At 49.5% G+C, this 15,855-nt stretch overlaps 1 long non-coding RNA gene across 1 annotated transcript, besides 1 other annotated feature; it reads right to left on the reverse strand.

Moving 5' to 3' along the window:
• Window positions 1–4,773: 4,773 nt before the first annotated feature.
• Window positions 4,774–15,490, reverse strand: LOC101927522 (uncharacterized). Its single transcript, NR_187751.1, has 7 exons — window positions 15,157–15,490; window positions 14,426–14,675; window positions 13,696–13,939; window positions 10,501–10,672; window positions 7,945–8,067; window positions 5,429–5,550; window positions 4,774–5,340 (listed from the first exon to the last, which is right to left on the reverse strand). It is a non-coding gene; the product is annotated as an uncharacterized LOC101927522 (long non-coding RNA).
• Window positions 13,731–14,930: an enhancer, noted in NCBI's record as "CDK7 strongly-dependent group 2 enhancer chr19:35923796-35924995 (GRCh37/hg19 assembly coordinates)". NCBI's record gives its function as "activates an origin of replication core promoter dependent on BRD2, BRD4, P300/CBP, MED14 and CDK7 cofactors, with strong dependence on CDK7, by STARR-seq in HCT116 cells {active_cell/tissue: HCT116}" and the evidence as "EXISTENCE:reporter gene assay evidence [ECO:0000049][PMID:35650434]".
• Window positions 15,491–15,855: the final 365 nt, after the last annotated feature.

Genomic DNA, 15,855 nt, shown 5'->3' on the forward strand with positions numbered 1-15,855 from the left:
CTCTTTCCACAGGGTGGTTAGGAAGGTAGAAGGTAATCCTGGAGCTTCCCGCCACCACGCAGGAGGAATTTGCCTGAGAGCAAAGCCAGCATAGAGAAGCAGAGCTGAGTCATGGAGACAGGTGGCTGAAAGTTTCATTTCGGCATATGGATCTCACCATTCCTGAAGCCACTTTCAACTCTTCAATTTCATAGCTAATAAATTCTCATTTTTGCACAATTAGCTGAAGCAAGGTTTTTTGTTACCTGGAAGCAATGAATGCAAATGTTTTTTAGGTAATTTGTTAATAGTAATAAAAGATAAAGAATATAATAATAAAGAATAGGGGCATTTCCAGGGCCGGGCACAGTGGCTCACACCTGTAATCCCAGTACTTTGGGAGGCCGAGGCGGGCAGATCACTTGAGGTCAGGAGTTGGAGAACAGCCTGGCAAAACCCCGTCTCTCCTAAAAATACAAGAATTAGCCAGGCGCAGTGGCACACACCTGTAATCCCAGCTACTTGGGAGGCTGAGGCAGGAGAATCGCTTGAACCCGGGAGGCAGAGGTTGCAGTGAGTCAAGATCACACCACTGCACTCTAGCCTGGGAGATGGAGCAAGACTACATCTCAAAAAAGAAAAAGAATAAAGTCATTTCTGAATTGTATCTTTTATGATTTTAAAAAATGAATCAGAGAAGATTCAAGGCACATTCTGACATGCAAGGGTTACAGTCACAGCCCATGGGCCAGGCATGGCACTTCACCCCAGTATGCTGGCGACGGCCCTCTCTGCACCAATAAATCAGATGCCTGCTTAACAACTATTTCAATCAGAAGTGCATTCTGCAGTTTTGAAAGTTTCCACACGTATTATCACTCCTCAGTCATAAAACAATCTGATGAAGTTAGTTTCTAATGCCTTTTTTTTTTTTTTTTTTGAGACAAAGTCTCGGTCTGTCACCCAGGCCAGAGTGCAATGGCATGATCTTGGCTCACTGCAGCCTCCGCAGTTCAAACAATTCTCCTGCCTGAGCCTCCTGAGTAGCTGGGATTACAGGTGTGCACCACCATGCCCAGCTAATATTTGTATTTTTAGTAGAGACGGGGTTTCACCATGTTGGCCAGGCTGGTCTCGAATTCCTGACCTCAAATGATCTGCCAACCTCGGCCTCCCAAAGTGCTGGTATGACAGGCCTGAGCCACTGCACCTGGCTCTGACCACACGTCTTCCATCAAGGACTTACATCATTCTTTTTGGCCACCCAGAACCTCTGAACTCCCTGCCTGTGAATCTACGCCTGCCCAAGGGAGAAGCAGAAACTTGCTTTCTCAGAGTCGGCTCCCATGTAGGGCACAGGCATGTGACCAAAGTCCAGCCAGTTACCAAGCCCAGGTGGGGGCAGTGCAGCATAGCTGTGACGTTAGGCCCGGAGGCCACTCTAGGGAGCTGGCAGCACACAGCCAGCTGCCAGGGCGGCAGAGAGAGGTGCCGAGGGTGTGGCAGCAGTGCCCAGCGTGTGAACCGCAGAGTGTGCGCCAGTGGTGGAGGTGGTGGTGTCTGCAAGGGTATCATCCAGGCATACCCTCCAAGCCTGGTGTTCTGGCTGGCCTGGAGATTCCACAAGCTACCTAATACCCTTTAAAAACAAAATTCCTAGGCTGGGTGGGATGGCTCACGCCTGTAATCACAGTGTCTGGGGAGGCCGAGATGGGAGGATGGCTCCAAGTGAGAGGATCTCTGGAGGCCAGGAGTTTGAGATCAGCCTGGGCAACATAGTGAGATCCCATCTCTATAAAAATAATTTTAAAATAAAATAAATAGGCCGGGCATGGTAAGCTCACACCTGTGATCCCAGCACTTTGGGAGGCCAAGGCAGGCAGATCACCTGAGGTCAGGAGTTCGAGACCAGCCTGGCCAACATGATGAAACCCTGTCTCTACTAAAAATACAAAAATTAGCCGGGTGTGATGGTGGGCGCCTATAATCCCAGCTACTTGAGAGGCTGAGGTGGGAGAATGCTTGAACCTGGAAGGCAGAGATTGCAGTGAGCCAAGTTCGCACCACTGCTCTCCAGCCTGGGCGATAGAGCAAGACTCCATCTCAAAAAAAGTAAAAAATAAATAAAATAAATAAGAACAAAATTCCTTTTCCGCTTAACCTGACAAGAGGAGAGTCTGCTGTCTGTAGTGGGAAACCTGACAGATACAATCAGGAGAGCATCCAAGGTCTCCAGGCGGACAGTCCTCTGCAGCTGCATCCTGTCTGTGCCATTGGTCCCTCTGCCAGCCTCTTGGCCATGTGTGTAGCCTGGGAAGAATGCTGCCCTGCTCCACCTGCTGTGGCAACTGCCACTATGCGAGATGGCCAGGCTGCTCCAGCTCCCACAGTGGCTCGTGGTCTGTGCCTCCGTCAGTCTGGCTTCTCCTGGGGCAGCGGCTACCGGCTGGACTCTGGCCCAGGAACAGGGCTTTCCCTGTGCTCGCCTGCACCTCGCACCATGGTCCTGGCCCCACGACGACTGAATCTGCCAGTCTCCACTCCCCTGTGCACTTTCTGCACTACAGCAGTGGGATGTGGTGACAGGAACACTAAAGGATTGAATGCCGGGATCCTGGAGGGAAATTGAAGCTGCTGGTGCTTCTGCCTGGGTCCTAGGGGAGCAGGAAACACTGTGGAGTACTTACTGTGGGCTCAGCACAGTTCCATTTTAATTGACAAATAATAATTGTATCTATGTATGGGATACAATATGATGTTTTGATCCATGTTTACAACGTGGAATGATTAAATCAGGCCAATTAAACACATCCATCACCTCACATACTCATCCTTTTCTTGCAGTGTAAACATTTAAAATCTCTTTTCACGGCTTTGAAATATACATTACATTATTATTTATTATAAACACCATTATGTGCAATTGATCACTAAAGCTGACTCCTCCTAACTGAAACTTTGAAGTCTTCAGTCAGCGTCTTCCCTTTCCCCATCCAGCCCCTTCCCCCAGCCTCTGGTAACCAGCATACTTCTCGCCATGAGATCTGCTTCTAGATCGGCTTTTTAAGATTCTCCATGTAAGTGAGATCATGCAGCACTTGCCTTTCTGTGCCTGGCTTATGTCGCTGAGCAGAAGGCCCTCCAGGCTCATCTATGCTGCCACAAATGACAGGGTTTCTTTCTTTTTCAAGGCTGACTAGTATTCCACTGTGTATCTACACCACATTTTCTTTTCTTTTCTCTTTTGAGATGGAGTTTTTGCTCTGTTGCCCAAGCTGGAGTGCAGTGGCACGATCTTGGCTCACTGCAACCTCCACCTCCTGAGTTCAAGTGATTCTACCACCTCAGCCTCCCAAGTACCTGGGATTACAGGTGCCCGCCACCACACCCGTCTAATTTTTGTATTTTTAGTAGAGATGGGGTTTCACCATGTTGGCCAGGCTGGTCTCCAACTCCTGACCTCAAGTGATCTGCCTGCCTCAGCTTCCCAAAGTGCTGGGATTACAGGTGTAAGCCACCGCGCCTGGCCCACATTTTCTTTAGCGATTGACCTGATGATGGATATCTAGGTTGCTTCCTCATCTTGGCCATTGTGAATAACACTGCAATGGACATGGGTGTGCAGGCATCTCTTTGACATACTGATTTCAATTCCTTTGGATTTACACCCAGCAGGGGGATTTCTGGATCATATGGCAGTGCTACTTTTACTTTTCTGAGGAAACTCCGTACTGTTTTCCATAATAACTGTATTAATTTACATTTCCGTCAACAGTTCGGCGCTATTTCAAAGGTTTCCTGTGCTCTAAAGCACTCTATTAGGCTCTCGTTGCAGGGATTTGGGGAAAAAAAGACACTCCCTTGTCCAGAGACATGGACACCTGCTCGCATCCCAATTTGCCTGTCATTCACTCCTTCATCAACTGCTCCCGGCCAGGACTTGTTCAAGCTGCTGAGAATGTTTTGGTGAACAAGACAGGAAGCGGCAGCTCTCGTGAAGTTCGCGTTCTGGAAAAGCACCGGTGTTGGAGGAACAGCGGTTGGACCTTTTCCGGCCTGGAATTTGGGCTCCCCACAAAGGAGATGCACTTTAGATGATTATTACTTGATCAAACTAATAAAAGGCCCGAGATAGTTAATAATAATGAAAGCGTGGCTTCCTCCTCCCTGTTTCTAGGCCAAGAGGTGGCAAGGGGTAGCAAATTAAAAACATACATATTGGTTTAACCTGAAAGTATGTCTATGTGCACAGCTCTTTTTGCTAAAGACAGCAAAAAGTTTTTACTAGAGCAACCTAAAACCAATTCTGTGACCTGAGTAGCACCTCTTACCAGGAATTGTTGACAAAAGATGAATAAATAGAACAATTTCAGATTCTGGTAAAGCACCGTGAAGAAAACAAATTGATTAGTGTAATAAGAAGAGGGGAATTCCTTTTTTATATTTATTTATTTATTTATTTATTTATTTATTTATTTATTTATTTTTGAGACACAGTCTCACTCTGTCGCCCAGGCTAGAGTGCAATGGTGCGATCTCGGCTCACTGCAACCTCCACCTCCCAGGTTCAAGTGATTCTCCTGCCTCAGTCTCCCAAGTAGCTGGGACTCTAAGCACCCGCCACCATGCCCGACTATGCGTATTTTTGTAGAGATGGGGTTTCACCATGTTGGCCAAGCTGGTCTTGAACTCCTGACCTCAGGTGATCTGCCCGCCTCAGCCTCCCAAAGTGCTGGGATTACAGTCATGAGTGAGCCACTGCACCTGACCTATTTTTATTTATTTTTTGATACAGGGTCTCACTCTGTTGCCCATGCTGGAGCGCAGTGGTGCGATCTTGGCTCACTGCAGCCTCGAACTCCTAGGCTCAAGCCTTAGCCACCAGAATAGCTGAGATTCTAAGTGTGCACCACCACCCCTTTTTTTCCTTTTTTATTGTTATAGGCATGGGGGTTTCAGTATGTTGCCCAGGTTGGTCTTGAACCCCTGGCCTCAAGTGATCTTCCCACCTCCGTCTCCCAAAGTTCTGAGATTACAGGTGTGGGCCACCACACCTGGCCCAGGACTCCTTTAGATGGAGTGGCCAGGAAGGGCTCTCTGAGGACAGACATTGGAAAGATGACAGAGAGGCAGCTGTGAGAGGGTGTGGGGCAAGGACGCTCCAGGCAAAGGCAACAGCAGAGACAAAGATTTCCACGCAAGACAAGCTCAGTGTGGGCTGGAGACAGTGTTAGGAGACACGGTGCATCCACAGAGGTCTCCTGCAGGTGCACTGGAGAGACGTGGCCCAGAAGCAGGGCAAGGTGTGCTGGGAAAGAGAACGTGGAGGTCAGCAGGCCATCAATTCCCCTGGAACCACACCTGGATGAAGCCGAACTAGTAAACCTTTTCCAAGCAGAAGAAAAGATCTGGGGTCCAAGCCAAGTGATCCCACTGCCCAAACACATACCTGGTGGGTCTTCACCTGGTGGGTCTGCAGCTGAACCCTGGAGTGCAAATGAAAACCCACTAGGACTCAGGATAGGAGGGAACAAATATGAGAGTAGTCCCAGGTGTGATGAAGGAGTGGACCTACCGGGAGATCAAGGAATCCAGGTTACCATGAGGAAGGACAAACACAAAACACACAGTACTGACTGTGTCCCAGATCCTGACCCAAGACATTTATTTATTTATTTTTGCGACGGAGTCTCGCTCTGTCACCCAGGCTGGAGTGCAGTGGCATGATCTTGGCTCACTGAAGCCTCCGCCTCCCGGGTTCGAGTGATTCTCCTGCCTCAGCCTCCCAAGTAGCTGGAATTAAAGGAGCCGCCCCCACCACGCCCAGCTATTTTTTTTTTTTTTTTTTGAGACGGAGTCTCATTCTGTCGCCAATTTTTGTATTTTTAGTAGAGACAGGGTTTCACCATGTTGGCCGAGCTGGTCTCCAACTCCTGACCTCAGGTGATCTGCCCGCCTTGGCCTCCCAAAGTGCTGGGATTACAGACGTGAGCCACCGCACTCAGCTGCCCAAAAGTTTTAGATACATCAACCCATTCAGTCTTCACAAAAGCCCATGAGGTGGGCACTATCATTTCCTCCATTTAGAGGGAAGGAAACCACAGCCCAGGAGACTACAGGACTTGTCCAAGCACACACAGCTGGAGGGAGCCCAGCAAGGCTGGAATCCAGGCAGTCTGCATCCCAGTCCATGCCCTTGCCTGCCACTCTACATGGCCTCACGAGATGCCTCTCCAGGTACCTAAATGTAGAAGTCAAAGGAATACTGTGGAAGCAGCCAAGGTCTGCATTTGGGAATCCATACGTTAGATTCGTGGAATCAGTTCTGGAGAAAAGGTGGAATTTTTCAGGTTTTTTTTTCATAGAGGTAATCAACTACCAACTTTCCAATGGACACAGCCCATCTCAGTGTGAAAGCCTGTCCCTAGAGCAGAGCCAGAGGAGGTACAGCCAGCTCCGACTCTGCAACTTCAGTAAGGAGCAAGAAGATTTCTGTTTAGAGGTTACCACTCCACTCCCCAACAAAAAATGAGAGTAGAGCAAGGTTTCCAGGCAGCTGCCTATACTCCGGGAAAGGATGTTGGTGGAGAAGGAATCGAGAGAGGGCCACACTGTTGGGGGCAAGGCAAGGGGCTCACTGCCAAGGGACAGACAGAACCAGGGAAGGCAAAGATCACAGAAAGGGAACGGGAGTGCAGAGCTTCTAATGGAGAGACTGCATGATGCTCTCCTGGGCTGGAGCTGGGGAGCTGGGAACAGCTAAGGTATGCCCACAGGCACAGAGGCATCTCTTCTGCCCCTTGGAACTTCTGACTCGGAGGCTGTCAACATTCCCTCTCTTGAGCAGGAGCAGGATGGGAGAAGTTGCAGCTAGATTGCTTTGGAGTCTATCCAGCATTTGGACATAACCTGTCCCTTGTGTGGTCACTGGAAAGAAGTTAAGAACTGCTCCTAGGCTGGACATGGTGGCTCACACCTGTAATCCTAGCACTTTGGGAGGCCGAGGCAAGAGCATCGCTTGAGGTCAGGAGTTCAAGGCCAGCCTGGCCAACATGGTGAAACCCCCTCTCTCCTAAAAATACAAAACTTAGCCAGCCATGGTGGCACATGCCTGTAGTCCCAGCTACTCGGGAGGCTGAGGCAGGAGAATTGCTTGAACCTGAGAGGCAGAGGGTGCAGTGAGCCGAAATCACGCCATTGTACTCCAGCCTGGGCGACAGACTGAGACTCCATCTTAAAAAAAAAGAGAACTGCTCCTGTGTAGAGTTCAGTTGAGGCCAGGCACAATGGCTCATGCCTATAATCCCAGCACTTTGGGAGGCCAAGCCGGGCAGATTGCTTGAGCCCAGGAGTTCAAGAACAGCCTGGGCAACATGGCAAAGCCTCAACTCCGCAAAAAATATAAAACTAAGCCAGGCATAGTGGTGTGCGCCTGTAGTCCCAGCTACTTGGGAGGCTGAGGTGGGAGGATTGCTTGAGCCTGGGAGGTCAAGGCTGTAGTGAGCCGTGATGGAGCCATTGCACACCGGCCTGGATGACAGAGTGAGACCCGGTCTCAAAAAAAAAAAAGAGTTCAGTTGTCTGGTTACAACTGCAGAAAATAACCTATGTGTGGTGGTCCATTTTCAATTCTAAGTGCCTTAATATAGGTTTAAACAGGCTACAAAGAGATAAAGAAGCAGAATGTACTAAGTCACCCCCCCACCCCCACCCCCTCCTGCCCATCCTGCTTCTTGCTTTCCCTTTCATCTAGCTGCCAGGCGCCTATCAGTCAGGACCTCCTTAACCATCCCCTTCCACCCCTCCAAAGAATTTAGTTGGGCCAGGCACAGTGGCTCATGACTGTAATCCCAGCACTTTGGGAGGCCAAGGCAGGCAGATCACCTGTGGTCAGGAGTTCAAGACCAGCCTGGCCAACATGGTGAAACCCCATCTGTGCTAAAAATCCAAAAATTAGCCGGGCACCTGTAATCCCAGCTACTCGGGAGGCTGAGGCAGGTGAATTGCTTGAACCGGGTGGGCAGAGGTTGCAGTGAGCTGATATCACGCCACTTCATTCCAGCCTGGGCAACAAGAGTGAAACTCCGTCTCAAAAAAAAAAAAAAAAAAAGAATTTAGTTTAGGCTAGCTTGCAAAGTAAATAATTGTACTCTTTCTTATCAGCTAAGTCCAGTCACTATGGCCATAACTCAAATGTTTGAAGAGTCCTGAGACAGTTGCAATGCATTATGGGCTGCAATAAAATGCAGCAGAAAGACCCTAAAGAACATACTGAAATCCTTAACCCAAATATCAATAGGTGACATGCAGAAAGATTGTAACCCAATAGTACTCAGCCAGTGAGGAACTAGGGGAGGGACTTGTGCACTTGGGAATAAATTGCTTGTTGAAATCGTTGCAGGTGTGCCCGCATGCCAGACACCCCATCTTGCAAGGCAGCCACTAAGGTCTCGCTTCTGCTGTTCTCCCATCCCTAAGTCCATTCTTTGGTTTGGACAAGTGAGTGTGTTTGTTTTTTCTTTTTCTTTTTCTTTTTCTTTTTTCCCTTTTATCTAGCTGCCAGGCACCTATCAGTCAGGGCTTCCTTAACCACCCCCTCCCACACCACCACCGAGGCTGCAGTGCAGTGGCGTGATCTTGGCTCACTACAGCTTCCACCTACTGGGTTCAAGCGATTCTCCTGCCTCAGCCTCCCGAGTAGATGGGATTACAGGCACCCGCCACCACACCCGGCTAATTTTTGTATTTTTAGTAGAGACGGGTTTCACCATGTTAGTCAGGCTGGTCTCAAATTCCTGACCTCAGGTGATCCACCTGCCTTGGCCTCCCAAAGTGCTGGGATTACAGGTGTGAGCCACGGCACCTGGCAGAGTTTGTTTCTCACACAATTTACAATAGAGGAGTATTCTGCCATTTTGCAAAGTGTTCTCACATATGTTACCTCATTTATTCTGAGAGAGAGGGAGGATTATTGTGGGAATTGGCTCATGTGATTATGGAGGCTGAGAAGTCCCATCTGTCTGCAAGCTGGGGAACCAGGAGAGCTGGTGGTGTAATTCAGTCCAAATCTGAAGGCCTGAGAACTGATGTCTGAGGGCAGGAGAAGATGGACATCCCAACTCAATAGAGAGAGCAGAGACAGAAAACTTGCTCTTCTTCTTTTTTTTTTTTTTTTTTTTTTTTGATATGGAGCGCCTGCCACCACACCCAGCTAATTTTTTGTGTTTTTTTGTGGAGACAGGGTTTCGCCGTGTTGGCCAGGCTAGTCTCGAACTGCTGACCTCAGGTGATGCACTCAGCTCAGCCTCCCAAAGTGCTGGGATTACAGGTGTGAGCCACCACACCTGGCAGAGCCACCACACCTGGCAGAGCCACTGGTTTTTTTTTTTTTAATTGACTTATTTTTCTTACATATAATTTAGCCTTACCCTAAACAAAAATAAATATTAATAACAGTAACAGCCAGCAATTCTAAGTACTTGCTATGTACCAGGCATATACATACATACGTACATATGGGATTTTTTGAGACAGAGTCTGGCTCTGTCGTCCAGGCTGGAGTGCAGTGACACAATCACAGCTCACTTCAGCCTCAACCTCCTGGGTTCAATCAATCCTCCCACCTCAGCCTCAAAAGTGGCTGGAAATATAGGTACATGCCACCACACCCAGCTAATTCGTTTGTATATTTTGTAAAGGCGAGATTTTGCCCTATTGCCCAGGTTGGTCTGGAACTCCTGGGCTCAAGCGATCTGCCCACCTCGGCTTCCCAAAGTGCTGGGATTACAGGCATAAGTCACTGTCCCCAGCCCAGCCCAGTACGTATGTTTATAGACAACTATAAACATATGTATACACACAACATGTGGTTGTGTAAAGATGTGTAATACACATACACACAAACATATACATATTCATTTCAATCCTCACAGCAAACCTACAAGGTAGGTATATTAGTCTCCTCGTTCTACAAATGAGGAAACTGAGGCCCAGAGAAATGAGTGCCCTTGCCCAAGGTGACACAGCCAACAAGTAGCCGCCAGGACTGCAGCCCACAGGGCCAGCTCCAGATTCCACGCTTTTAACCCCTGAAATCATGAGTTTAATGGCTTAGCTACAGGTTAAGTCACTTGCCAGGGAACCCAGAGCTAGCAATGGGATGGGAACTGAGATGTGAATCCCAGTAGTCTAACCTCAAAACCTGCGTGTTTAGCTCCTACATGCGTTCCCACATGGGTTATGGACAGCTCTACTAATGGAAGAGGGCGCTGGACTGGGGTGGAATTGTGAAAGAACTAGCGACGTGGAGAGAGGCTTGAAGCTCAGCCTAAATAAATGTTGGGGACAGCCCCCACTGACAGCTGGACTTGGCCCGCCATCTTCCCTTCTTGGTACCTCTCAATCTTTCGTAAAAATAAACCAAAAGCTGACGTTCACCACTTCATGCCATGCAAACAACTGTTTTTGGTTTTGTTCTTCAAATATAAAATAACATGAAACATGCTTTGTCAATGTACTTACCCCCATCCCATCCCACACTCTCTCTTCCCAAATACCCGCATCACCCTCCACTCTTCAGAGATACTAGACGGGGTGGCTCAGCAGGGCTGGGAACAAACACTGGCCAATGTAAAGGCTTCTGAATACTCCGCAGCACTGGAGAGTCTGTCTTCAGCACGATCCCCTGTTAACCCTAGGAAAGATGTGCACGTGACAGGGGCGGGGTGCGTCATGGAAGCCTGACGTTCCTCATGCCAGATCAGACGGGAAGGCTGTAAAAGGGGGAAGGTGAGGCCAGCTGGCAGAAAGCAGGAGGAACGCAGCCTTGCTCCAGGTTCGTACTCCCATACCTGAAACGCCTCCTCCTTCTCCCGCCTACCCAGGCTGAACACCTGGAGAGGGGCAGGGTAGGAATGCCCCCTAGGTGACCAGAGTGGAGAGGAGGACACTGAAGGGGTCTAAGGATCACGAGACCGCGTGTGGCTTGACTTATTCGCCAAGTGGAGATTCCTCGATCATCCTCAGAGCCTGTGGTCCCTTCCATCTAGTCAAGAATGGGCAGGAGGCCAGGCGAGACAAAACTCAAGGGGAAAGCCGTACTCATTTTTATCAACATCTCCTTGCCAGGAAGCTTGTGGTATTCACTCAAATCCAGGACATGATAAACATTTACAGAAAATAATAAAAGCAGATGATGTGAGGACAGTCAAGAGACGCAAAGTACACTTATGCTCCCCCTCCTCATCTAGAAAGTGGGTCTGCATGGAGTGTAACAGCAGAATCTGACATAGCTGACTCCACCCTGCTTCTAACCTCACAAGCTAATGGTCTTTGTCATTCCTGCACATCAGCCAAGCTAATCATGGGAAGAATTTAGTTTACAGTTTAACTTTAAAGCAAGGATGACAATAATCCCTTCCCAACACTCACCCCCAAGGAGATAAGGAGGGTGTACACACTAGCAGCTACATCATATTAAAGATTTATAGGAACATTGTGACCTCAGCAGGACAAAGAAGTTGCACAGTGCCCCTCCTCGGACACTCACTGCCACCCAGATGTCCGCTATCATCGGTCACCTCTTGATCTTAAACCTCACTCTCTTCCCCCTTCCCTAATGTAAAAGGAGCCCAAAATTCTATTACTTAAGATTGTTCTCAAGACACTAGGTCTGCTATCTCCTCAGTCTGCTGGCTCTCTGAAATAATGTCATTTTTCCTTCCCCCAATATCTCGTCTCTTGATTTATTGGCTGTTGTGCAGAGATTGGTATGAGCTTTGGATTCAACTGCAGGAGGACGGTGAAGCCAGAAGAGATAGAGAGAGAGAGAGAAAGAGAAATGAGCAGCTGCTGAATCATGAGGGCTTCCCTAATGGCAGGGAAAGAAGAAAGTTTTGACAGACAGTGGGGCAAGACACTTGCACAAAACAGGAAGCCAGAGGAATCCTTAAAACCCACACATCATACAAAAATAAAGAAAGAAAATAAAACATGATAAAAGAAATGAAACCCATACATCAGATCACTTACTCCTCTGCCTTATACCCTTCAAGAGTTTCCTATGACTTTGGGAATAAAATCCAAATCCTCACCTTGGACAACAGGGCCCTGCACCATGTGTTTTCCCTCCACCCCCTCCACCCCCAGCTGTCACGTCTCTGACCTGGTTTCCCATCACTTCCCTCATGCTCATTCCCACCCCACCCCCCCAGCCACACTGGCCTCCTTTCGGTTTCTCCATCACACCAAGCTTCGTATCGCCTCAGGGCCTTTGCAAAAAATGTCCCATCTGCCCCGAGTGTTCCTCTCCCAGCTCTTCCATGGAGAGCACCTACAGGCCTCGGCTCAAATGTCACCCCTTCAAGGACATTTCCCTGCTGCCCCCAGCACAGATTACCCTATTCTATCATCCAATTCTATTTCCTTCCGAAAGCGTGCCCCACATTACCTCCTATATTACTGTAGAGACTGTACTAGTGTCTCACCCCTCCCCACAACTACAATGTCAATTTCATGAAGGCAAGAACCATGTCTGCCTTTAAAAAAAAAAAAAATCAGGGTCTCACTCTGTCCCACAGGCTAGAGTGCAGTGGCACAATCTAGGCTCACTGCAGCTTTGATCTCCTGGGCTCAAGTGATCCTCTGACCTCAGCTTCCTGAGTAGCTGGAACTAAAGGCATGCACTACCACATCTGGCTAATTTTTGTATTTTTTTGTAGAGATCAGGTGTCACCATGTTACCCAGGCTGGTCTTGAACTCCTGAGCTCAAGCAATCCACCTGCCTTGGTCTCCCACCAAGTGCTGGGATCATAGGCATGAGCCAACACACCCAGCCACAATGCCTGTCTTGTGATGCTCTATCCCCAACCATCCATGGAGAGATGAAAATGCATGATCTGGTTGTTACCTTGCACTCAGCTGCCTAATCCAAGAGACATGCAGGTGACTTTGAGAAGGCTGGGGCTGTCCTGGGCCCACAGAATTCAGACAGAAGACACTGGGGAAAGGAGAGGAGGTGGGACAGGGACCAGACACAGAGCACTGGAAAGGAGAGGATGTGCAGGAGCAAGAGCTGAGCCGGATTTTCCAGACGGCGGCAGACTCTGGGGGGCTGCCTGGACTTGGGGCATTTTTTCTGGGCTGGCCCTGGACTTAGAGAATATTTTTGTGATTTAGCGGCCCCAATTTTTGTGAAATGTCCTCTGCTGACTGAGAGATTAACCTGCTTTGACTGGGCCATGCTAAAAAATGAACAGGAATTTGATATAGTCCAGTGTGGAGGTGGAGAGGGAGGGAGGTGAAGAAAGAACAGAAGGAAGGGGTAAGACACACTGAGGAGCAGATGGAAGTTACCTGAGGGGATCCTCCAAAGAAGAAAGGGTGGGCTATGCAAACAGTGGATGTAAAAAGACGCCTGGAAGAAGTTAGGACTTGGATTTCTAGGAGAGATTAATTCGACTTGTAGGAGCAGGGATTTGGGGAGAGGCAGAGGGCTCTGCTGCCTCTGAAAGAGCTCACCGAGTGCGCTCCCTCTCTCTGACTAAGGACCCCTGTGGATAAGAAAGCTCTCTGCCCTAGAGAAGAAGAGCAGTCAAGGTGCTTACAGGCTCTTTCCCGAAGACTGAAGACCTTTCCCAGGGTGGACTGTGGTGCCCTTCCCTGTGCAGGCACCCTGACCACTGTGTGTTCAGAGAAGAGGGATGTGGCACACACACCTGAGAAGCACTGGGACTCCTGCGAGACCAAGTGGGAGGTTGCCACTCCTGGGGACCATCTGATGGGAAGCAGCGGTGAAGAAAAGGGAATGGCGTCTGGATGTGGATGGAGGCAGGTGCTTCTACTGCTGCCCGGCCAGAGAGGAGCATCCCCAGAGGGTCCGTCCCTAGCCAGGCTGGAAGCTTGTCTCTGCGCATCTGGTCCCCTCTCGAAGCAGTTCTCAAAAGCCGTTGAGACACACTGCTGGGATGTGGCAACACACCAAGAGGCAAGAAATGTAAGTCCATGGTTCCTGGTAATACTGAAAAAACTAGGCTTTGGAAGTTTAAGTAAACAAAGAAATGAGAGGATATAAGGTAAGCTGTTACAACGTCACTGTCAGTTATGAGTATTCTGTTATGCTTTCTTTTGAGCCAGTCTCGCTCTTTTGCCCAGGCTAGAGTACAGTGGCATGATCTCGGCTCACTGCAACCTTTGCCTCCCGGGTTCAAGCGATTCTCCTGCCTCAGCCTCCTGAGTCACTGGGATTACACATGCCCGCCACCACACCCAGCTAAATTTTTTTGTATTTTAGTACAGACAGGGTTTCACCATGTTGCCCAGGGTGGTCTCAAACTCCTGAGCTCAGGCAATCCGCCCACCTCAGCCTCGCAAAGTGCTAGGATTACAGGTGTGGGCCATCATGCCTGGCCCCCATTACACTTTCTAGAGAGAGGAAGAAGTACTAACCTCACAGTGCAGACTGGAGACTGCACAGCACATGCGCAGATGGTCTTGACAGAGGATGCCTCCCTCTGTGCTGGGGAACTCATCCTTGCCCATTCAGTTTCCGTGGCTCAAGCAGGCTGATGTCAGCCCTTGGCGATGCTGTTGGCGTGTGTGACCCACAAATCATTCAGAGGCAGCAGAGCCAGCCTGGAGATCCGGGCTGTGACTTCAGGACAGGAGACCCTCTCTCTGCACAGGTTATTATCCTAAACTGCCAAAGGTCACTGCGTGAAGCAATTTTACTAAGAGCCACCAAACCCCTCTCTTCCCTCCAACCAAGTTCATTCACCCTTCTCAGAAGAGCCCAAGAGACCTCTGTGAGAGTAAGACAGGAGTTGGCGATGGTGCAATTTGCAGAACGCCATGTTTGTTAGCGCCTTGTCTTCATGTGGCCGGAGGGCACTCCTGAAGCTTCAAACTCCTGTAAAAACGCTTCCTGTCCAGGGAGGGTGGTATGGGAAGTCTGAGGTGGCTGGGAGAGGAACTGGCGAAGTAAGGAGTTGGAGCAGGAGTCAGAGAGACATGGGATGGGGAAACTCACAAGCAGACTCCACCCCAGTCAGGGAACCTCACTCACCGTTCCATTAAGGGCTGGAAAAGGAGGCACCGACAGGTGTCTCACAGAAGCGAATGGTAGCTGTTCAGGAGGCTGGACCCAGGAAAAAGGACATAAAATCGGGGAGGTGCCTCACCCTAATTTTTCTCAACTCCAGCAGAACCTTCTTAGAGAGCCTCACTCAATTCCACATTTCTCCTCCTCTCAGACAAGCCCGGCAGCTCCGTCCACGTCCTTTGCTGAATGGAGCCAGCGTGGTCACTTCTGCCCTATCGAGGAAGCTGAAGGCCCTGGCCCATCTCTGACAGCTCAGGGCACAGGAAAGCCTTGCCTCTGCCTAGTCTGCCCTCTGCTTCCCCACCAGCGTCATCTGTGGCCCACGGCTCTTGGCTGGACCTGCACTGAAGGACACAGCTGCTCCGAGCTACACAACAGGGTGGCTGTCCCTCCGCCCTCCATGTGTGGTGGCTGCTGCAGCAGGATACAGCCAGCCTCCTGGCTGCTATCCCACAGTGCTATGGTTGATTGCGTTCTTACACTGGAAGATAAACAGTGCTTGTGTCAAAGAAAATAGAAACAAGGCCGAGCATGGTGGCTCATGCCTGTAATCCCAGCACTTTGGGAGGCGGAGGTGGGCAGATCACTTGAGGTCAGGAGTTTGAGATCAGCCTGTCCAACATGGCGAAACCCCATCTCTACTAAAAATATAAAAATTAGCTGGGTGTGTTGGCATGCGCCTGTAACCCCAGCTACTCGGGAGGCAGAAGCAGAAGAATTGCTTGAAACCGGGAGGCAGAGGTTGTAGTGAGCCAAGATCGCACCACTGCACTCCAGC

Source organism: Homo sapiens, chromosome 19, assembly GCF_000001405.40.
Source record: "Homo sapiens chromosome 19, GRCh38.p14 Primary Assembly".
Lineage (NCBI taxonomy): Eukaryota > Metazoa > Chordata > Mammalia > Primates > Hominidae > Homo > Homo sapiens.